General features: G+C 33.7%; 1 protein-coding gene across 5 annotated transcripts in view; it reads right to left on the bottom strand.

The window, feature by feature from the left end:
* Nucleotides 588-25397, bottom strand: part of LUZP2 (leucine zipper protein 2) — a 585586-nt gene continuing 560776 nt past the window's right edge. For 3 of the 5 annotated variants that reach the window (NM_001009909.4, NM_001252010.2, NM_001252008.2), the window contains 2 exons: nucleotides 5820-5897; nucleotides 588-4672 (listed from right to left, as the gene is read on the bottom strand). In NM_001009909.4, coding sequence (NP_001009909.2) covers nucleotides 4568-4672; nucleotides 5820-5897 — 183 coding nt within the window. In that variant the 3' untranslated portion in view covers nucleotides 588-4567. Of the gene's footprint in view, nucleotides 4673-5819; nucleotides 5898-16819; nucleotides 18453-25397 lie in introns of those variants that run through there. The other 2 variants (XM_047426868.1, XM_017017648.3) reach the window with 1 other exon arrangement.

Below are 25397 nucleotides of genomic sequence, written 5' to 3'. Positions count from 1 at the left end.
TAGAAAAAGAAAAAGAAAAAGTAAAAAAAAAAAAGATAGTCTAAGAACAAAGCAACAAACGAAACAAAATGCTTATTTTTGGTTCTTATGGTTCTCTGTTCTCATGCCAATACATGCTCCCTTGCTGCTCCCCTGCTTGTTCCCTTGCTGCTTCAGCCTCTAAATTAATTTATTCAACAAATGTTTGAGCATCTTGTATGAGGCAGCTAGCTCCAAGCACTTGAGATTAATTTGTGAGGTGATGGATATGTTAATTAGCTTGATATAATCATTCCGCTACATGTGTGTTCATATATAGAGATACATCACATTGTACCTATTACACATCACAATAATTCATAAATTAAAAATAAAAATTCAAATTAAAAAAAAGACAAAATCCCTGTGACCATGGAACTCTATTTTTTTTTTTAAAGAAAGCACCTGCAAAATAAAAGATTTTGGGGTCATTGGCAAAGAAAGATTAAAAAAAATTTCAAGATGCTATTTAAGAAAAGTTCTTACATCCTGATACACAGAAGCAAGTACCATTTTTAATGTTCATATCTGCTTTTTCAATTAGTTTATGTAAGATAATATACATTGTATTCTTGTAACAATCTTTATTGAACAAAAATAGGCCATCTTTCAGCATCTTTTATTCTTCATCATTCGACTGTTATTATATAACACAATCCAAATGAACACATAGTTTGGGGAAATTTAGGACTATACACACGACTAAGAAAATGTCTCCTAAGTAAACAGTATGTGTTTTCTTCATTGTCTAGGTCTGGCCAGTTCAACCTACTCTATGGTACTCTACGGTGTCAATAATTATTTCAGTCTCTGCTGCAATTAGTGCTAATTACAATACCTGAGCTATAAAAATAAAAGATTTCATTATAGCAAAGTTCACAAATATCGTTTTAGTTCAGTTATCCACATTGTTCATCTAAAATAATACATTTTCTTTACATATAACTGTCTTAGACTTGTAATTGAGGATATTTGATGAAACAGATCTGTATCTGAAACAGCACTATGATGCTAAACATTTGCATAAGGAATGAAAAAAGTTAGCAACCTAGTTTTTTCAATATTCAGATATTTGAGATTACACAGAAAACTACATCCAGATGAATGACTGAATTATTCACTTTTCTTCTGAGCATTTTGGCATTGGATAGACACAGCATTCAAGTTTAATGCATTTTAGGAACAGGTTCAGTTTACATATTTAACGCACATTAAAAAAACACAAAGCCAAAAGAAATTTCTAATTTAGAAACATATACATCAAATACATAGCATTGATTACTATTTTAAAATAACTATAGAGAAATACAATTGTTGGTTCTGGTTGTACCTCTATTAAAACAAGTTACTCCATTGGAAAATATCTTTTTTCTTAATAAGAATCAATTCCATGTTTTTCAAAATGTAAATAATCTTTCAATGCTTATCATTACAGGTACATAATAGAATTATACTATCTATAGTAAAGATTTAGGTTGATATTTTATTCTATATGAGGATGGTTGGGATTTAAGTGTTAATTCCTTTAAAACAACGTCTGTTTATTTAGTTGTTAATTAAAATATGTGAGAAATGGCCCCTCTCTCATAGACACATTCACAAATGTAAGAGGAACATTTTAAACTTATCCGATTCTATTTTGAAGCAAATAAAAATTGAGATAAATAAAATGCATTCATTAAGGTACAGTCATAGAACTTACTGAAAGAGAGTCTCTAACTTAGTTATTAAAAGGAACTCCTAAATATATTTTTAAATGTCTCCTGCTACAAGTTTCTTTTTTTTTTTTAAACAAATGATGCAATGAGTATAACACAGTAAACTTTGCTGGATGTATAATGCCATATATATTTAAAGGAAAAAAACACACTGGCCAGGCACGGTGGCTCACACCTGTAATCCCAGCATTTTGGGAGGAGACTGAGGCAGGTGGATCGCCTGAGGTCAGGAGTTCGAGACCAGCCTGGCCAACATGGTGAAACCCCGTCTCTATTAAAAATATAAAAATTAGCCGGGCATGGTGGCAGGTACCTGTAATCCCAGCTACTTGGGAGGCGGAGGCAGGGAGAATCACTTGAACCTGGGAAGCAGAGTTGCAGTGAGCCAAGATCGCTCCATTGCACTCCAGCCTGGGCAACAAGAGCGAGATTTCATCTCAAAAAAAAAAAAAAAAAAAAATCATATGGATCCAAAGCCCACTTGATCAAGCCAGGAATTAATAAAAGGAATTTAGAATATACAGAACAAAAACAACTTTAAAATGAAGATTGATAAAAACATGATTAATATCAACCTGAGTTCTTACCTTTCAACATGTTATCTCTCATAACAATTTCAGGAAATAACAGCCTGATTCTTCTTTTTTTTCATTCCAAAGATGCTTCAAAACATGCTGTGCTAGATTACATGGTGAATAACTTTCTATAGGACCCACAAGGCCTGCAAGGGAAGTTGGGCCCCAGGGTGGAGGTGGGAGACTGAACATAAATTAAAACTAAATGATCTGCTTCCCTGTCAGGAACCTATAGAGATGGTTAGGGCCACTGAGAACAGTGGGAGAATTACAAGGAACAGGACTTGGGAGACTAGCAGTATTCTAGTTTGTATGATTATTTTTAGAAATATGAAGGAGTCAGAAGAAACCTCAGACCTTCATCTTTTATTTTATCCTAGTCACTTCATCTGAAAGCTCTATGGATCATCCATAAAGCTAATTATTTTTTTCCTTGGGTAGCCGGTTTTATGAAAAATATGAATGCTCCTTGATTTAACAATAGGATTACATACAGATAAAGAAGTCAAAGGTTGAAAACATTGTAAGTCTGAAATGCATTTCAGATACCTAAATGGAAAATCATAGCCCACCCTAACTTAAACCTGCTTAAACGTGCTCAGAACATATACCTCATCCTACAGTTGGGCAAATTGTCTAACACAAACCCTATTTTATAATAAAGTGTTGAATATTTCATGGACCATGTATCACTAGCCCTCCAAAAAATAACAAAATTCAAAATTCAAAGCATGTAGAAATTATGAAGCTTTCACAGAATCATGAAAAAACCGTTAAGTTGAACCATTGTGGTTGGGACCTGCCTGTGCTAATGAATGACACTGAACTATTCTGAAAATAGAAGTGCTACATAAATATGTCATAATATTACTTTTACAGCTAACGATATTTTCCAATTCTCCAAATCTTTAAATTTCTTTAAATATGCCATTTTGATCAGAGGTATGCCATTAAATCTCAGAATCTAAGTTCATTTATTGATTAAAGATTTCCTTTAATACATTTTTATTAACTGTCTCCTAGGATACACTGATCCAAATGTATATATTGTGGTTTGACAGATCCATCCTGCAAAACCAATGGTTTAATATGCTTTCTACGGTTGCAAAAAGGTTCTAAACAAAAGAAATGACTTTTCAGTCCAGACAACTTAACTGTAGTCATTAACTGAGTCTGCAACTTTGAATGCCCTATGAAACCTATTAATCAGATAATTATTCAAGGGTCAATTCCTCTTGCTTGTGAGCTATCTTCCAATTATTCATGAGTGCATTTTTTTGATTAGTGATATTCCTATAGAAAATCAGAACTCTTATGGATTAACACTGCCATTGATTTGTTTCAATAACACATTGGTTTTCAAAAAATATGCATCTGGGTTTATTGAATCAACATGGCTATTGTACTTTCATCAGACCCCTGTTTTGTGATATATATTACCTGCTTTCATATTTGTATTTTAGAACTCACTCTTCATTCCCTATTCCACTACCCAACTTCATACCAAAAATCCTGCCAAGTATTTCAGAAAACTTGGTTATTAACTTGGATTAATTACAGTAGACATACATAGGAGATGTGTCTATAGAATGCCAAAATATTTAATTGTGTCAGAAATTTAGTCATTCATCCAAATATTTTGTCCATATGATGCCAAACATACTTAATGAATTATGTTAGCTGACAAAATTCTTAACAGAATTGTCTTAGCATTATTTAGACAAAATAATTGTTATTAGTTCAAAATAATACCAATAGCAATAAACACCATCAAAGAAACAACGTATTTAGGTTGGCACAAATTCCAACCTTGAGGAAAATGACTTCAGTTGGCTCATGTGGACCAAACCCTTACTGATATGGTTGTAATTTGGATTCTAAGAATGCTGAGAACCCACAATATTTTATTATCCTCCAGTTGATTTTGACAACTATATCATAGAAGTACTAGATATCCAAATGAACCGGGAGAATTACATGTTAGATAGCATTTGAGTTAAACCAGACCAATTTATATGGGACAATTTACTGTTGACAACAAAATATTTCTGACTGTGGGTATTCAATTCAATGAGGTTATTGCTTAAGGATCATAATTGGTCTGGAATCTTTGAAAATGTGTAGGCTACTTTATAAAGTTACATAAAATTGTGAAAAAGTTGCATGCTTTAGAAACAGTATTTCCATCAAGCTTGTGGTCTAAAAAGAATATGAAGACAATAGCAAATGGACGTTTTTAACACAGTTTCTTAGTATTTACAGTATTTTTTCTTCTCTAGCTGCCATCCCTTCAAAGCTGGTCAATGGTTTTTCTGGGGCTTTTTTCACCTCACATTCAGAGCAAGGAGGCATTTGCAATTTCTGTTAAACAATACAGAAAAGACAATTCGAAGAATCAAAATAACACATTTTAAGGTAAAAATTGAAAAGTCTAAAAGAATAAGAATGGAAATTCAAAGATCTCAACAAATATCTTAGAGAAAATGAACACAGGACAGAAATGAAACAAATGTGAAGATGTTAATTATATTTCATAAAAGTACATAACAATATTTTGCCTAAAAACAGCAAAACATTTCAAAAACTATTTTGAAAAAACTTTGCCCAAGCCATTCAATTCTGTTTAATCTAATTCAAAGTTTGAAAATAAGTTAAATCTAACTCCACGTTTTAGTATTAAGTGAAATAAATATTAAGAATGTCAATGATACAATATTTTTGGTCAAGTATAATACAGTACAAATAAAAATTCAGAATTAAGCTCTTGACTTGTGTTTATTTTGTTTGTTCTTGTAAGTAATATGTACTTCTTTTCACCTCCTCTGCTTCCTCAAATCCTCTTTAGTCTCCTTTGTACAAAAAGAAATATATGCCTGTGTGATCATCCCTGTTTATTTTTGTTTTGTTTCCTGGTCTGTGAGAGGGAGGGTGGAAGTGAGGAAGAACTCCCCTCACCCTTGACCTTCTGAGAGCCTCATATAGTCAAGCCAAAAGCTTAGTAGAAAGCAGAGCAGCCTTGGAAAAGCCCAGGGGCACCATGGCTTTACATATAGTACTAGCAAGTACAATATCCTGCCCCAGCAAGAGCAAGAGAGAAGAGTGTTAAATACCATGGATCTGGTCGGGCGCGGTGGCTCACGCCTGTAATCCCAGCACTTTGGGAGGCTGAGGCAGGAGGATCACAGGGTCAGGAAATCGAGACCATCCTGGCTAACACAGTGAAACCCCGTCTCTACTAAAAATACAAAAAATTTGGGCGTGGTGGTGGGCGCCTGTAGTCCCAGCTACTCGGGAGGCTGAGGCAGGAGAATGGTGTGAGCCCTGGAGGTGGAGTTTGCAGTGAGCCGAGATTGCGCCACTGCACTCCAGCCTGGGAGATAGAGCAAGACTCTGTCTCAAAAAAATAAATAAATAAAAAATAAAAAATAATATAAATAAAAATAAATAAATAAATACAATGGATCCAATAAATGCTTTTTGACACAAACGAAATAAAACAAACACATACCTGTGGGATAGGCTCGGTTTCTGCAGTGGCATTACTTGGGGGACTTTCTTTGTGCTTCATGGAACACGGTCTGCCCTCCTACAAAAGTAGCAATTAAAAATACATCAATGAAGTTAAAGAAAGAAAGTGGAGGGGGGAGTCAAAAACACTCTCTTGAATTCTTCCTGTTGAGAAGATTCTATCACTTTGATCCATACTGAAAGGGCAAAAGCTAGGGACAAAAATAATCACCACAGCAGTGGGATTTCAAGGAGAGAGCAAGCATTCCTGACTGGTTTGGGGATCACAGTGGTGCTTATGGCAGTCAGCTACTACAAAGAAGTACAATTCCAATGGAAAATTATTTTCCTGTAAAACATTTAAAAAGAAGTAAAAGATTATAAAACTACTATGTCTACAATGCATCCAGACTCTGTGATTTATATATGTCAATTATCAGAGTGCCTGCAGGAACATCAATATTGCAAGCTAGGAAGCAATGTAAGTAATGTGACCACCAATCTGTCTTGCATAAAATCCTCAGTATCTTTTTTAAAAGATAATATTTCTGGAACTAAGATCCCAGTCATTTTACTGGCCAGAATATCTGATCTTACTTATTAGCTTCACCAGTTTAAAGGAAGATGAAGTGTTAGCAATGGAAAAAAAAAAATAAATTAAAAAAAAAAAAAAAGGATTCCACTTGGGCTTCACTTCTATTTTAACCAGGGTTAAAATATTCAATCCTCCCTCCCTCCCTCCTTCCCTCCCTCCCTTCCTTCCCTCTTTTTCCCTTCCTCCCTTCCTTCCTTCATTCCTTCCTTAGTTCCCTCTTCTTTCCCTTCCTCCCTCCCTTCCTCCTTCCCTCCTTCCCTCCTCTCTTCCTTCCTCCCTTTCTTTTTTTACTTACTGATACTTTTCCTCCTTCCTCTCTTCCTTTCTTCTTTATCATATACATAGTTTTAAATTAACAGCAACATATGTAGTGTAAGAATCTGCATTTGTGTGTGCGTTTGTTATATTTCTCATAATCTTTTCCACGTGCAAGGCAGAGCCTAAGAGTTTAATCATTTGTGAACATTAGGCCAGGTGAAATGGCTCACACTTGTAATTGCAGCACTTTGCAAGGCTGAGGTGGGTGGATTGCTTAAGCCCAGGAGTTTGAGACCAGCCTGGGCAACATGGTGAAACATTCTCTTTACAAAAACAAAAACAAAAACGAAAACAAGAACAAAAACAAAAGCAGCTGGGTGTGGTGGCACATGCCTGTGGTCCCAGCTACCTGGGAGGCTGAAGTGGGAAGATCACCTTCTGAAGTGCCCGGGAGGTTGAGGCTGCAATGAGCTGTGATCATGCCACTGCACTCCAACCTAGGCTACAGAGTGAGATCCTGTCTCAAAAAAGAATATATATAATTATTATATTTGTATATAATTATATATAAAATTCATGACCACTGACCCACTGACATCAAAAAAATAAGTTTATTTCCAAGCGATGAATCAGGGGATAGAGAGCTAAGTTGACTTTAAACTCTAAAAATTCTGAGTGGAAGATAAATAAAAAGGTTTATAGTAGATTAAATCTACTCTAATTCAGATTTTAAAGGTTATTTTTTATGCTCCCTCTATTCTCACACTATATTGCTCTTAAATGAACACAAACCATGTATCTGTACGTTTCTCTGCCCATGTGTGTGCTACCCCACTTCTTTCACTGCAGGCCCCTGAAAACCAGCTACTCATTTCTGCCATAATTTATCTTTTCTACTACTAGACAGACTCAGTCATCCTTCCATGCTCTAAAGGTAATGCTTATAACAACTGTAACACTTACCATTGTTTTTATATGTGTAATCATGCCTGCCTCCCCAATATATTGTGAATAACTTTAAGACAGGGGCAACATTTATCTCCACTAGATCGCAGCTAGATGCCTACCAAAAAGTGGTCGATATATAATCTCTAAATAAGTAATAAATAATTTTAAAATATTGGCCATGAAATAGTTCAATACTTTAGAATTTTCATAAATGCCTGCTTTCTTTGTATGGCCACATTTAGGCACATTTTATACACAATTGGTTCTTCTAAATAAGCCTACAGTATACAGAAAAAGAGAGATTGTCACTATAAGACTAAAAATCAATAGCTGAATTCTTAACCACCTAATTCTAAATACTTTTTAAGTATTCTGAATATTAATACTATGTATTCCTTTATATACATAGAGGAATCTTCTACACCGCCTAAGGAAAAATTTCTTGTTGTATGATTTATAATTCAAACCTCACATTTCTCTGGAAATATTATAATCACTCTGTTTTGCTCTAATAAACCAATTGGCTGCTGTTTTTATTATTCTTGCATTTACCCTTCGAAAAATTAACTAATTGTAAGAAATCAAGCTCAAAAAATGTTGTTCATACAGAAAGTAATTTGCATAGTGTAGGATTTCCCAAAATGCACTTGGTAAGAGTGGAGTTCCTGTCATTTAAGTTTAGGGAAAAATTGATTTCAACATTAAACAGTTGTATTTATTGTAGTTCTTCTCAGAAATCTTATACAATATCTTAAAGTTTTGATCTTGAATGATCTGATCACATAATCACAGGAGGTGACTGCTAAAAAAACACACCAGGGTGATAATTCTGTCCTATAAATATGGGGTTTGCATTTTTAATCGGCATGCTAGCAATTCAAATGTACCTATGAAATTTGATATTCACTTCATAATGCACAATATGTTATAAATCTCTAAGAAGGAGATATAATGTACGTATTTCTTGAATATCTTTGACCTAAAATTCTTTATGTGTAAAGCTTCACTTGAGGTCATTGTCATGAGGAAAACACTACGAGATCTGCTATGCAATATATTTCATTAATGCTAGCACAACCAACTATTCGAGATAAGCCTTTGATCATCTGAATAATGAAAACTTACTACATTTCAACATTAAAGAAAATGTTTTATGTCTAGAAGGCAGCTGTAGCTTTTTCTGATACTTTTATCTTACAATGAATAGCAACTTTAAATTTACTCTTTCTGTGCGTCACAGGCATTGTGGAAATTTTGTAAGATGGTTCATAAAATTGTTAGTGAGTCTCAGAGAGGCACCAGAGATAAGGCCACATTACTATACTGAATAGGTTTTCTGCTTTAATAAAGCCTTTTACTAAACTTATAGCCTTTGCTGAAATAGAGCTCAATATGATGAGGCACAAAGGGTGGGTTTCTAATAGAGTTCCCTCACTCTGTTGCAAACAGGACACAGACTATCAAAAATTCCAGAGAACTGTTGTGAAGGAAGGCAAGACAAATTTGACCCATTTCCAATGTTGTAGTATAAAAGTAGTTTTGACTATTGGTTAAAAGTGCTTTGGAGTGAAATAGACTTTGCTTTATGTTTTAGCTCTGATACTTATCCATTGATGACCTTGATCAAGTTATTTTTCGCTGGGCTTCGGGTTCTTTGGCTGTAAAATGGGTCTGCTTCTTTATGGAATTAATTTAAGGGTAAAATTAGAAAACATAAACAGGTATTCAGCATGGATTAACAAATAGTGATCGTTCCTTTTTTTCTTTCTCCTCCTTTGATTATTGTCATTACTAACATTAATGGTTACAAAACAATATTTATGATCAGTTGACACTGACATTATTTTATGTCACAGAATCAACAGTGATGCAATTACCAAACATAGAAAAATAAGAGGAAAGGTAGAGAGAAGAGAAGGAAAGGAAATGAAGAAGGTGCTGAGTAGAGGGGCTGCAAAAACGTTTCTTACGAATGCTCCTTTTTTAACAATAAAGCTAAAATATAACAAAAATTTTAGGTGGGAAATTAAAGAAAGAAAAAAATAAAATTAAAAAGAGAAATAAGCTTTCCTGTATTAGGCTAACTTGTCCCAGAGGCAGCAATGGGCACAGCCCAGACCCAGGGAATGTCTTGATAATACTATCTAAGAAGCCAGGACACAAAGGAATGTGTTCCGGAGATTCTCCCAGCACTTCCTCCACACAGGGAGAAGAAAACCAAAGTTTCCTTTGTTTTATAATATGAGTTTATAGATTCTTGTTCTCTGTAACTAGTAACTTCAAGTATTCTGTTTTATCTAAAAAGTACAATGAAGGTCATAAGAAGCCTGAGTGGGCCTGAACTACAGCTGTCTAGGCACCATAGTGAAGGTTAGAAGATAAACCAGTGCAAGGCTCTTTAAAGCAAAATCTAGATAACAGACATCTGGATTGCTTGGCAATGGTCATGTGTAATCCTTAGTTATGAACCTGTCACAATTTAATTAATTGTTCTGCCTCTGTATCCTTGCTTTTGAGCCACTGTAACTGTAAGCTTGCTTCAAGCTAGCCCACCCCCTTTTTAAAGTGTGTATAAAAGTCAAGTGCTGTCTTTGTTCTGAGCCCAGTGTTTGTATGTTAAGTCTGCTGGGTGTGAGTGCACTCAATAAAGATCCTGCCATACCCCAAGGTCTCTCTGGTCCTCCTGATTCTGCAACAAATTGTCTATATTCATGTTTTGCTTTGGAAAGAAAAGATACTTGAGAAAATATAGGCTTCAAGATGACACCAAATTGTGTTTATATATTTAAAGATTTATCCAATAAAACTTGGGTTTGGGGTTATAATGGTAATCACTGAATATAGAATTAAACCAATGGGCTTACTTCTAGGGAAGCTCCCTTGGAAACAACATAATTTAATTCTTAAATAAAACCTCTTAATTTAAAAAAGCTACACTACATTACAGGGTAAGAGGTGGGGTCACTGAGAGAAAACTGCAACTATAGCTAAGATCTAAGGAGAGTAACCAATGTTATCTAAAGAGTAAATATAATTTTATCGAAAACTATTGCAGTAACTTTTGCTTCCACAAATGTATTTTTATTTTTCCCTTTTTGGCCACACAAATGAAATATAGACAATCTAATAAATTACCTTTGTTATCCTTAAATTGCCTCAACACTAAGAGCCAAATTGAGCTTCAAAAATAGTTCTATACTTTAATCATTCATTCCACAAACATTTACTGAATTTCTATTATGAGCCAGGCACTGACTGAAAATAGAACAATAAAAAAAGTCAAGGACTTTGATGTCAGTGGAGGTTATACTCTAGTGGAGAAAGCATAAATACATACATAAACAAGAACATATTAAAAAGAGTATCAGAGAGATTTAAGTGTAATGATGGAAAGTGCCTGCAGGTCACATCCAGTGGCAACCTCTGTAAGATGATAGCACAGGCTTTGAGATCAGGCATATCTATGTTCAAGTCCCAGTTCTTTCACCTACTAATTATCTATCAGGGGAAGTTCTGCAATATCCTTGGGCTTTAATTTAATCAACTGAAAATAAGGATATTAATATCCATCACAGACAATTTCTATACATTTTAAAACATAAAATCAATATGCTTAGTGTATGTGCGTGACATAGTTTAGATGCACAAGAATCATTTGTTTAATTATTTCAGGTGCCTAAAACCAGTTACATTTTTTTCTTTCCATTGCTTTAACTTTATATGCTTTTTCATCATGTGTGATTTATTTATTTTTTTTTATCTTTTTTTAAATTTTTTATTTCTTTTTTACTATACTTTAAGTTTTAGGGCACATGTGCACAACATGCAGGTTTGTTACATATGTATACATGTGCCATGTTGGTGTGCTGCACCCGTTAACTCGTCATTTACATTAGGTATATCTCCTAATACTATCTCTCCCCTCTCCCCCAACCCCATGACAGGCCCCGGTGTGTGATGTTCCCCACCCTGTGTAAGTTTAATAATTTGCCTTCCTGAAAAGCAGATTTCCACCCCAAAGAGAAAAACTAGATTACTTCAAATAGAAAGCAATTTGTAGAAAGACTTTTCAAATGTAGGTGCTTCATTGATAAGTTTATGATCAATGAAGCACTTACATTTAAATGTAAACTACATTTAAATATAAACTTTATATTTAAACTCGATCAACAAAGCACCTACATTTATTTTTATTTTTTAATTTTATTATTATTATACTTTAAGTTTTAGGGTACATGTGCACAATGTACAGGTTTGTTACATATGTATACATGTGCCATGTTGGTGTGCTGCACCCGTTAACTCGTCATTTAGCATCATGTGTGATTTAACATGTAAAATAGACATATAAATATATGTGAAATAAATTACAGATGGTAATTCTGTTTCAACTTAATTGCTGTTTATATATTTACTATAGATTAGAACTGTGTTAAGTGATATCAAGATACAAATAGGTATGTTTCATAAAACACATTATCATACCTCAGTAGATTTATGATTTACAAAATTGCATGACATGGTCATTGTTAATTGTGCTGAAAGTGTAAGACATACACATATGCTTTACACGAATGGTTTCGTGTCAGTTTACATGAATAGGGCTCTGTTTTTCATCTGTGGAATTTTTGGACCCTGCCACAAGAAAAAACTTCAAGGTCACGGCTAAAGGTGATTCAAAGAAGGGAACCTTTTCAAGATGTGAACTGAAGGGCAATAGGAAAGTTTGAAGGGCAATAGGAAAGTTTTTTCTTATTTTGTCAGGCAGTTTATAATTTTAGCCTTCAGTAACACACACACACACACACACACACACACACACACACACACACACACCATACACAGTCATTCACAATGCCATTTTATGAAACTTATATATGAACTTATCATGTATCTGAAACATATGATCTTTAAATGTTTTAATCTATGGAAAAACAATTATTTTACAACACATATTCTAAAAATTTCAAATGCTAGTTAGGGACTTAACTGGGATATTTTAACAGGCAGGATTCTAAGATGCTCCCCATGTTTCTCACCCACTGGTGTGCAAACCTTATATAACAACCTCCTCTTGATAGGTTCTCACAGGCAGACCCTATGAATGTGATGAAATATAACTCCTATGATCAGGTAGTTGGTTGGCTTTGAGTTAATAGAAATGGAGATTATCTAGATGGGCCTGGTTTGTCAGTTGAACCTGACAAGATAATAAATATCTTATCTTTGCTTTGCCTTTGCTTTGATTATTAAAATGTAGTCTATTTACTGGCTCCACATTTTTTGAAGGTGGACCCTAGAAAATTTGTAAATAAATACACTTCTGGGGGATGGTTAATATTTAAATAATTTTGTGAACATAATATATAGATAAATTTAGGTGAAAGGATAAGTGAATCTTTTCTCCATTTGTCTTTCTGCTTAACTTCTTTTTGCTATGTATACTGCTGGCTCTTTCATTTCTTAAAATTCTGTGTTTCTTAGTGCTCTTACCTTAAGGTTTTATTTTCTAATCTCTTTAGTCCTCACTCAGCTCAATCCCTAAATGAGTAGACTCCCATTTGGATGTTTGCATAGGTATGCAAACACATATTACGGGGATGACAGAAAGAAAACAATAGAACTGTTAATGCTCATGTATTTATTTAAATAAATAAGAAGTAAGCAATTAACACAAGATTTGACACCACTAAACTCACTCAGATGGCCACATGTCAAGAAACATCCTTGATGTTTCACATAAGAGTTCCTAACAACAAATTAAAAAAAAATAAGAAATTCCTGCAAAAAATTATAAATTGAAGAAAAAATTTATAGTATAATCAAATAAAGAACTAACGTTTTATTTCATTCCAAGTATAATTGTTTGCCAGCTATATGATATAAGTGAATAAGTTGATAAAATGAATTGAAACTACTGAATATTGAAATATAGACATGTATACCCTGTCACTTTTTATTTTCCTTTTGTTAACTTTTTTCAGAATATATATTTTCTGCTATTTTATGTATATATTAGTTTATACACCCACACACATACAGTGTATTACTCACTGGGAAAACATGCTCAAGTGATCAAAACTGTTATTATTTCCAGATGTTGTACGTGTAGCTGGGGTTTGAAAATTGAAAATAAAGAAATGTTAATTTATGAATTAGTACACCATAACTTACCAGGTATCTGTTATGTACCAGATGCTGAAATTGATTTGATGTATATTTCATGTGATTTAATTCTCATATCAATACTCAAGATATTTTTATCTTTTTTATAAATGAGGACAACAAGATCAACAGATCTGCATAACATCCTCAAGGTCATAAAGTTATTGCTGTTGCAACTGAGGCAAAGTCTCTTGCTGCAAATTTGGGATCGTTCAAAGATTTATATTTTCTTTCTTCCATTTTATTATTTAACTATATAATATTTTAGATTTTGATAGCACCTCACATGTTGCAGTCTCAGGTAACAACACAGTTTGTGACAAAACCAAAAAACGTTTCTCATAATATCAATGCTTTTGCAATATTCTACCAAGATCCCTAAGTAAATGGTTGGTACACATTTGGGCCTGATGAATCAGTGAGCTGTATTATCCAGAAAAGAAGAAAAATATCACTCATGGCTAATTAGGGCTATCGATTTCTTCATGAAGGATGAACTGAGGCTTGAGCGATGAATAAAGTTTTTTGAGATAGAGTCATGAGGACAAAAAAGCAGAAGTAAACATTCTGTAAGTGAGGGGGATGCATCAAAGGTAGCAGTTGTGAGGTAAGCTGAGATGGGAAATACTGAGATGATTAGAGTAGGTACGGTTCAAGAACTCTGAGGTAGCTCAAGCAGTGATGTTTATACTGAATCTGGCAGTTATTAAGCAACAATTACATTGTAAATATCCTGCAGTAACATGTCTATGTTTCTAAGAAGTCAATGCGTTCTCTGTGTTGGAATCTAAAGAGATTTATGAACAGCACTCTACAGCGATCATTACATACAATACTTGTTCAAACATGTCATCAGTATGACTCTTCCTCCAGCGAAAGAATTGTAATCTATATGATTTTTATAAGCATCCCTCTCTCACTTCCAGAGCTTGTCAAGGCAGCACCATTTTTCTTCTCTCATATGGCTGACAAGAAGTTGAAACTTGGCAACATTTGTTAGAAGTTAGGTTTTAATACTCAAATATTTGGAGTTAGAGTTCCAAATATTATTTCATGACTCTATTACTAAATTAAATTATAAAACTGAAAGAAAAATACATAAAAGTACCTTTTTATTTTATTTTTTAACCATACTTTAACTTCTGGGATACATGTACAGAATGTCCAGGTTTGTTACATAGGTATACACGTGCCATTGTGGTTTGCTGCACCCATAAAGTCGTCATCTACATTAAGTATTTCTCCTAATGCTATCCCTTCCCTAGACCCCAGCCCCCAACAGGCCCCCAGTGTGTGATGTTCCCCTCCCTGTATCCATGTGTTCTCATTGTTCAACTTCCACTTATGAGTGAGAACATGTGGTGTTTGACTTTCTGTCCTTGTGATAGTTTGCTGAGAATGATGGTTTCCAGCTTCATCTATGTTCCTGCAAAGGACATGAACTCATCCTTTTTTATGGCTGCATAGTATTCCATGGTGCATATGTGCCACATTTTCTTTATCCAGTCTATCATTGATGGGCATTTGGATTGGTTCCAAGACTTTGCTCTTGTGAACAGTGCTGCAATAAACATATGTGTGCATGTGTCTTTATAGTAGAATGATTTATAATCCTTCGGGTACATAGTAATGGGACTGCTGGGTCAAATGATATTTCTAGTTCAAATCCTTGAGGAATCTCCACACTGTCTTTCACAATGATTGAATTTACACTCCCACCAACAGTGTAAAACTTTTCCTATTTCTCCATATCGTCTCCAGCCTCTGTTGTTTCCTGACTTTTTAATGATTGCCATTCTAACTGGCATGAGGTGGTATCTCACTGTGGCTTTGATTTGCATTTCTCTAATGACCAATGATGATGAGCATTTTTCACATGTTTCTTGGCCACATAAATGTCTTCTTGGATGAAAAACTTAAATGTAATACCTAAAACCATAAAAACCCTAGAAGAAAACCAAGGCCATACCATTCAGGACTTAGGCATGGCCAAAGACTTCATGACTAAAACACCAAAAACAATGACAACAAAAGCCAAAATTGACAAATGGGACCTAATTAAAATAAAGAGCTTCTGCACAGCAAAATAAACTATTATTAGAGTGAGCAGGCAACCTATAGAATGGGAGAAAATTTTTGCAATCTATTCATCTGACAAAGGGCTAATATCCAGAATCTAAAAAGAACTTAAACAAAGTTACAGAAAAAAACAACTTCATCAAAAAGTGGCCAAAGGATATGAACAAACACTTCTCTAAAGTTCCTTTTTAAAATGACTCAGTCTCTCTGTGCCTAAAACCTACACTACATGTAATCAGAGTATAATTAACTTCCCATCCCAAAAATATAATTTTATTACTTTAATGATAATGAATCTCAACCCAAGGGATAATAAACCTTCAGAGTTTTCCCTTTACATGTACTCACCACAGACAACAACAAGGACAATACCTTTTGTAGTTTTAATTGCCATATGTAGGTTCAATGTCTCAACTCAGAGGATTTTGAGGATTATGCTATGTCAGCTTTGAAAATGAAACTTGCAGATGATAGAAACAGACAACCTTTTGTGGGTAAGCTGTAAACAATTTTTCATGAAAACAATTCAGCACGTTATAGTCTTCCTTTCTCTTTCAGAGATAATGGCATTTACCCCTTTATTTCATCTCTGGATTGTTGAATTAAACTTTTAACTCTCTCTAACGTCACCTTTCTCCAACCCAAACAGATCAGCCTCCAGAAATGTCTTCCTAAAATGGATTTTATCATGCTAACTCACTGCATAAAAATCAATCTAAACAAAACAAGAAAAAATATCTCCCCCACACAAATATGTGATTTCCCATTGCCTATAGAATAAAGCATGAATTTAGCTAAATAACACTTAAGATCATTCATTATATGGCTACACTTAGAGCCCCTTAGCGAATGTCATTGCCACAGGTTTTTACTTATTCTTCAAACTTGATAAGCAAATGGACAAATTTAAATCTTTGCTCAGGCTTGTTTATCCCCCAAATGATCACAAAACATTATTTTGTAAACTCCCACGTATCATTTAATAAGCAGTTCAAGTTATAAATCTCCAAAGATCATAAATCTTGTGTTGAAAAGCTCTATGCAATCATTTTATACTACCAACTCTCATGCCTCCCCTTTCCACTGAGACCATCACTGGACAATGCCACAGTGAATGAAAATTTGCCTCATCTTCAAATAGCCTTTTGGTAATGCATAACTAATAGGAAGAGTTGGGAGATTTTTTCAGTCACAAAATAGAAGAAATAAAATCCCCCGAGAAGACAAAATGTTGTATAACACTCTGAACTAGCTTCCCTAGAAATCCTCCTTCCAACAAATGCTCATTTGGAAATCTGGAAGGTTTTTATGGTTAGTATAAAAAAGCAGATTCTGCCAAATTTTCATTGTTGTTCCTCTTACTATTTGTGTGCTAAGCATGATAAGTGCAGAGGCAGACAGAGAAGATGGATGAAATTAGAAGGTTGGAGACTGTTTTGTTAAACAAATAAGATGTGTCATAGAACGTAGTCATCAGATTAACTTTGATGAATCATAGTGAAGGTGTATGAGTGAGCATGAAAATAATGAATCTTTGCTGTCACCTTCTCTGACTCATAGATTATCTTTTGACTATGACTGTTAAATACATACACAAACACAAAAAGTTTTGTCACACTGATATATTCTTTGCCTCATTCCTCTACCTGGAGTAATTATTGAAATTTCATTCTTTTAATTCTTCCTGGCAAAACCTGAAATGGAACTGTGACTCTTGGAAACAGATAAAAAGTGCTGTTCACATAAGAGATTTCATGACAAAGAAGAATAAGGTTAAACCCCGTGGGTGACGGAATCTATGTTTAGTCAATGTTTAAATTCTTAAATCTACTAGCTTTGTGGCCTTGGATTACTCAATTTTCCTCAATCTCAATTTTCGTATTTTTAAAATGAGGAACAAGTTTTTTCATCAATATTTGTAAGGAATAAATAAGGACATATATTTAATGCACTTATCTGAGTGACACTCATCCCACTGTGTTCTGTATTATATATTGTAGCAGCAATGATAATGATGAACATAAGGATTAATGTTATAGGCAATTATGACAGCAGCAGGCAATGTTAATAAGGTTCATTCACTTGGCCCTTAATAAAGATGTACCAGGTGATGACTGTGTGCCAGGTGCTTTGTGGGACCTAGGTACATGGTAGAGAACAACCCAGAGACAATGCATGACCAAAATCATCATTGACTACAAGAACATTTGGCTCTTTCAAGCAGCTTTCCCATAGTTTAAGATGCATATTTTGGTATCAAATATTTAAGAAAGAATTCACTAAGTGAATTGTGTTTTGTAGGAAGTCAGAACATGTTTCTCTTTTTTACTATGCCTGTCAATGTTATCTCCAAACAAAGCACTGATTTAGAGATTGGTCTGAGTAGTTGGTTATGATTATGGTTTTAAATGCTAACATATTAAACCTCAATATCTAGAGATTTTGAGATTTTTATCTTTCAGATGAACATTAGAAATTCGCGAAGTCACAAATGTCAACAAATGGAGAATTAAGACATACTATCAAATGTTTCAAGGGCCATCATGCTGGGAGAAGGGCTAGGCATATTCTGTTCCTTGAGTGACGTGCCTAGGATAAGAGAGAGAGCAGATTGGGAAAATGGAAAGAACATGTCTTAAATTGAGAGACAGTCCAAAATCAAATGAACTGGAAATGTTGATATTAAGCCAAAACAGCCACAATCTTAGGCTATTTTCATGAAATGGATGGGTTCGGTCACCTCTGAGACCTACACCAAATTTGAAATTCCATGAGATTTTATGAAATAGAGTAGGTATGCTAATTTAGTTTTCAAGTTTCACAAGTTAAGTATATCTTCTAATGCTTGACAATAATGCTTTATTTTTTTAAGTCTACATGAGAAGTTGCTGAAAATTTGAATAGTTAAAAAAAGAAGTTTACATGCTGCTCATGTTTTTTAAGAGTCATCATTAACACATAAAGAAAGAGATAATGAAATTAATCACACAGGAAATTTATATTTAACAAGCAATTATAAAGCAGTAGATACATAATTTAATATACACCATCTATTTAAATGTCAACATAATTCTGTAGACTGCATAATATTAATGGTGTTTTAAATATGAATGCCAATATAGATATTATCAGAAAATAATAATTGTATAATATGTTTCTTTTTCACCAAGGAAATCAGTACAGGTGGAATGATAAGAAACAATAAAATAAACTATATGGTATGTGAATTGAAAATGTACAACCTAGTGGAAAGAATATGTGCTTTGTAAACAAGCAGACATGGGAATATATTCAGGCTACATTTCCTTCATGTTCAAAATGTATAAAGTTGAAGTAATAATGTTTATCTTACAAGATATCTGAAGATAAATTGAGTCCCTAGGCAGTGAGAAGTGCAGGATCTGCATTCAGAAAGTTTAATATTGAGTCTGGTTTTTTCACCTGTTCTTTGTCTGACTGTCCTATTCTTCATGTTTACCATTTATTTAATAGGGAAATGGAATTGTATTCATGGAATTTTTGTGGGGTTAAATAAAGACAAAGAACCTGGAATAAAGCTCCTGATACACATTACATGTTCAATAAATCATATGTATTTTTATCATTGTGGACCACTCTCTGAAATTATGTATTTAACAAATGGTGGTTAATGATTAATGTGGTCCATTCAGTTTTGGAAGAAATGTGGTTCTACATTAACTTACTCAGATGCATTTGCATTAATGCAATGCCATCCACATGACACTGAATAAAATGGTATGATCAAATTACACAAAATATAAATAAGAATTAAAATGATAAACTATTTTTCTTATAAAACATATCAATAAACAAAAACTATACATTTACTGTTGGCTATAACATGCTGAAGCAGACTCCTCTCTCTTCTCTTTCCCTTTCTGTCTTTTACAATGCTGGTGTGAAGATATATTCACACAGATATTTTGGAAAATATTGTATTAAGATGGATAAATGGCTTTAAATATTTTCACAATTCAGTGTACAGACATCCCTCAATATCAGCTGGAGATTTCTTCCATCATCCCACACAGATACCAAAATCCATGGATGCTCAAGTCCCTTAAATAAAATGATGTTATATTTATATATAATCTACACATGCTCTCCCATATACTTTAAATCATCTCTAGATTAATTATGGCACCTAATATAATAGGAATGTGATGTAAATAGTTGTTACACTATATTTTATTTGTTTTATTTTCTGTTGTATGTTTTCCCAAATATTTTTGATCCGTGGTTGGTTAAATCCACAGATGTAAAACCCAGGGATAGAGAAGGCCAATTTTATTTTAATTTGGGGTATTTTTTTCTCTGAAAAAAAATACAAAATTTAAAACAAAACTAAATGAACAAACAAAAAAAGAAAAGAAACTGGGCACTAAGAAGTATTCATTATGGTGATTTGTATAACAGAAATAAAACAAGATATTGGTCAAACAAAAATATGCGGATTAACTAAATAATGATAAAATATTTTGTGGTCATTAAGACAACGTTTTTACAATGTTTATTTATATAAAAATGCTTAATCTGGTAGCATATAATATGAAATTATATAGATAATATTGCACTAATACAAAGCAAGAAATGTATATAAAACTGACAAAAATAAAATATATTAAACTCGGTATTGTCAAATGTCATAGCACAATGATAAAGTTGGAGACGGAAAGACACACAACTTTATTGGTGTGCTTTGACATTTTGCTGGTTTCCTTTCCTTTCTTTTTTTTTTTTTTTTTTTTTTTTTTGACAGGGTCTTGCTCTGTCACATAGGCTGGAGTGCACTGGCGTGATGATAGCTCACTGTAGCCTCAACCACCCTGGCTCCAGTGATCCTCCCACCTCAGCCCTTCAAGTATTTGGGAGTACAGGCAAATGCCACCACATGCAGATATATATATTTTTTTATTCTTTATAGAGGCAGAGTTTCAACATGTTTCCCAGGCTGGTCTCAAACTCCTGAACTCAAGTGATCTGCCTACCTCGGCCTCCCAGAGTGCTGGGATTACAGTTACAAGCCACCATGCTTGGCCCTGGAGGTTAGTTTCAAAATAACAAATAAAGCCTACCTATCTGTTTGGCCATTGTTGTAACTATCTATTTCTGTCTTTATCATTTCTATATCCATTATTTCTACCTCTCTCTCTCTCCCTTCCTCCTCCTCTCCTTCTTTCCCTTCCCTTTTTCCCTTCCTTTCTCCTGTCTCCCTCCTTTTTCTTCTTCTCCCTTCCCTCTGTTTTTCGTTTTTTGTTTTTCCTTTCTTCTTTTTCCCTTTTCTTGAGGGGTATGACTGATATGTCACTTTCCAATGATATATTTCCATCTGTATAATAACTGCTTATCTGTGTATAGCTGGCATGTCGGGCAATACACAGGTTCATAAAAATATAACATTTAAATTTGAAAAGTGCCTAAAAACTTAAGGTCTTCATTCCATATCAATTTCAAACTCAAATTCTTTTTCTTGAACTAAAGCAAAAGTTCAGATATCATTTCTCTTTATGCATGTATAATTAAAGAATATAATTTTACTTGGGAAAGAATGGATAGAGATGTAATAAATTGTAGTGAATGATGGATTAATTATTCAAAAGAATCATTTTATGTCTAAAAAAAGAAAAAATATCAAATATTAGTCTGGAGAATTATTTAAAACAATACAAAGAGTAGTACAAGTCTTCCAAATACCTTCATCATCTCAATTAAGTAAAACTCAACCTAATTAGTAAAGTACCCAAGATCTGCAAATTCAAGTAATAAAATATGCAAATTAATCAGGAAAGCATGCACAAATTCAACTGCTTCACTATGCGGTTCACCCATTCAATTATACAGGAGATCTAAGGAGAAACACAGCTGGGTCTGTAAATTATAAAGTGGGATAAGCCACAAATACATCTATTAAAATGATTAAACACTGCCTCTCAGATACACATATTCACCAACACCTCTAGAATAACCTGTTTGTTTCTGTGATTTCTGGCAATAAACTGCCAACTGACACAATATTATTATATGATCACAAAAGCAATCACGGTAACAACAAAAGTATGTAGCTAAGACAAACCTTGGTAATTACATAATCTCTGTGTGTGCAAAAGAACACACAATCACAGCGTAGTGCAGAAGACTCTAATCCTGTGATGTCTCTAGTCATTACTGGGAGTCCCACAGTAAGGCAGGAAGAATAAGCTTTGGAGTCATGTACAAATGAATTTGAGTCCCAACTCTATTTCCTACTATTTGTGATAATGTGGGTAAGTTCATGAACATTGAAGCTCCTGGACTTTGATATCTTATTGGAAAATAAAATTAGACACCACTAACAATGAAATTGCCAATGTTAAATTTTGACATTGGAGAATATAAATCAACAAAAAATAGATTACTATATTTCAGCAATATTTCAGATAAAAATTTTAATTTGAAAAATAGACAAAGGATTCAATGACAACATAAATTATCCTGAGACGGAGGGAGAAATAGAAAAAAGAAGAGGAAGAAACAAGAAGAGGAATGGGAAAAAGAGGAGGATGAGGATAAGACAGAAGATAAAAGATTAATGGAAAATCCACTAATATGTTGTTATATGGCTTTTTATTCTATATCACTTTTCTTTTTATTTATACTGTTGAAAACTTAATCACAGAACAGTATTTGCCTATGGCAAAGTGGGAAATACCAATTTAACCTCATTTTATCTCATTTGTTAAATGATGATAATGATATTTACCTTCAAAATGTTTATATCACAGTGAAATGAGATAATAAAGGTAATCACAGCAATGTGAATAAAGAGATAGTCCATCTTAGGTTAGAATTTTGCTGCTATCTGAATATTTATGTCCCCGCAAAATTTATATGTTGAAATCCTAACTCACAAGGTAATGGGATAAGGCGTTGGAGCCCTTGGGAGGTGATTATGTCATGAGGGTAGAGCCTCATGAATGGTACTAGTGCCCTTATAAAAGAGGCTTCAGAGACATCATCTTACCTCTTCTGCCATGTGAAATTACAGTGAGAAGATGGCTTTCACTAAGCAAGTGGGCCTCACTGAACACCAAATCTGTCAGTGCCTTGAATGAGGATTCCCTAGCCTCTAGAACTGTGAAAAATAAATTTTCTATTATTTATAAACCACCCAGTCTATGGTGTTTTGTTATAGCAACTCTAATGAATGAAGACAAATTCTTTTTACCTTCATTCATTGTATGAACTTGGAAGGTTACCTCAACTTACTGAGGCTCTGATTCTTTATCTGTAAGCTAGACAAAATAATACCCACATCAATCAGATGCTGGAAGAGTTGATTACATTTTTAAAAAACATATAAAGGTTCCTAATGGAATATCTTGCACATATTAGGTGCTCAATTTGGTTCTATCTTTCATCTCCCTTTTTCATTTTTCCCTTCCTTCAGTCAAAATTTCTCTATATTGCCAATAAGTTTGATTCCTATCATAATAGAAGCACTGATACTCACTTTAAGTTTACACTTCTGTGGTCAACATATTAATTCTGATCATTACAAAATCTAGACATTGCCAAAGAATTTATTGCTGGAGTTTTTCCCCTCAGTTCTTTGTTTCTTTTCCTCTCCTCCTTTTGTGTTTATGATTTAACAGGGAAAGAAAATAGTCTCAGTAATCAAGCATTCATCCTGCCTTGAGTAACTTTTACCTTGAAGGATGCCTTTTATTCTTTTTTCCCCCTCAAGGCAGAAACATCAGATCAATCAGCCCATCTAATCTAACTAAGGCATTCAAATGCTTCAGAAGGTTTTCATTATGATACATGCATGTGTTTGACTTCAGTGCAGATATCCCATTTGGAAATTATTTATGGAAATAAAGTAGTATATTTAGAATGATTTTTTCAAAAGGGCATGATGACTGAATTTATAATCACTGAAATGATTACAAAAAGATAATGTCCTCTTTTGCTTTTTGTTTATTTTTAATTATACTCTATTCCTGCTCTCAGAAATAGAGAATAAAACTTCAAGAATTAAAGCAGATGGAATAACTTTTCAGAAATTCATTGTCAAATTTTCATTTACTTTGTATCGCTGATCTTGCCAATTGCTATGACTTTGTTATTGTTATTAAACGCTTCTTTATACTTCACTAAAGAGATTAGTCATGTCTCTTATGATCTTACTCTAAAAGATTAAAATAACTCAGAATAATTAATGCAAATACACAACTGGTAAATCTGAAATTCTACCAACAAAAACTATTTATGACAAATACAAAAATCCAGTTCATTCTGCATATTTAAATAAGAGATGGGACAAGCTATAGGCTAAAAACAAGCAAAATTTTTATAATATTACAAAAGAGAAACAAAGTAAATCGAGTACCATGCTACTTAGAAACACCAATAGTTTTTGACTGAATTTTTCTATGATGCCAATTTATGCAGGAAATTGATTTTTCACATTTATTACAGAACAATGTTTTAGTGCTGGTTTAATATTTATAAGTTAAGAAACTGAAAAGCAAGAAGTCAAAAGATTGAGAATGTAACATTAAATCAAGACAATGACTCCAAATTCAGTTGATGGAGCCAACGGCAGGAGTGGTCGAGGGGAAGGGAGGAAAGTTCTGACATCAATGTCCCCCAAGCAGGTGCCTCTGGGCAAGTCACCTTCCCTCTCTGAACCTTAATTTACAATACAAATATTTTTATAGCCTTTGCCCTCAAATTACTTATTATCTAATTCAAAATGAGAACCTTATACAAATAATCAAAATACAAGGTGTACTGTGATGAAAGACAAAATACATTCATCCAGCAAGGACAATGGAAACCCAGAGAAGGAAGTCCTTATGTGTCTCATAGGTAAATGGGAGGAGTAAAATAATTATTTATCAGATTATGCTTTGTGTTTGCACGTTATTGTTTGGCCAATGATTTTTATAATATATATTAACACGGTTACTGGGTTATTTTCATTTACCATATTAATAGATTAACCATTTTTCTTAAGCTTTCCATACTATTTATGGAAATAAATCAAATTAGGTTAACATGTTTGGATGGTTAAGTTGTCATAGAAAAGTAAACATGGAGATTTATATGAATAAAATATAACATTTTTCCAAAGACCATTGGAATCTACCTATCATTCCTACACTATTTGGAGGGATTCCTGCTTCTTCTTGAAAAAAATACCACAGTAGGACAATAAAAAATGCTTCTAATGAAGCCAACCTCTTCAGATGTTCTGATGGAATGTAGCCCAGAATGACAGTGCTGTGTGGTCTCTCAGTCCAATTACAGCAGGGTATGACTTGCCTAGAAAATTATGTTAACCAAGCATTGGATCTACCAACAACTCATCCAAACCATCAAATGCCACAAAATGCATGTTGGATATAATAGCAAACTAGATTTCTTATATCTCAGCCAAAATTGTCTTAACATGAAAAAGCTGGCATAATTTTCTACTTGCAGCTCTAGAATTTATTTTCTGCACATTTTCTCTTCTCATTTCCCTAGGCA

The sequence above is a fragment of the Homo sapiens genome, chromosome 11 (assembly GCF_000001405.40).
Source record: "Homo sapiens chromosome 11, GRCh38.p14 Primary Assembly".
Taxonomy (NCBI): domain Eukaryota; kingdom Metazoa; phylum Chordata; class Mammalia; order Primates; family Hominidae; genus Homo; species Homo sapiens.
This window is presented reverse-complemented; position numbering and strand designations above follow the sequence as displayed.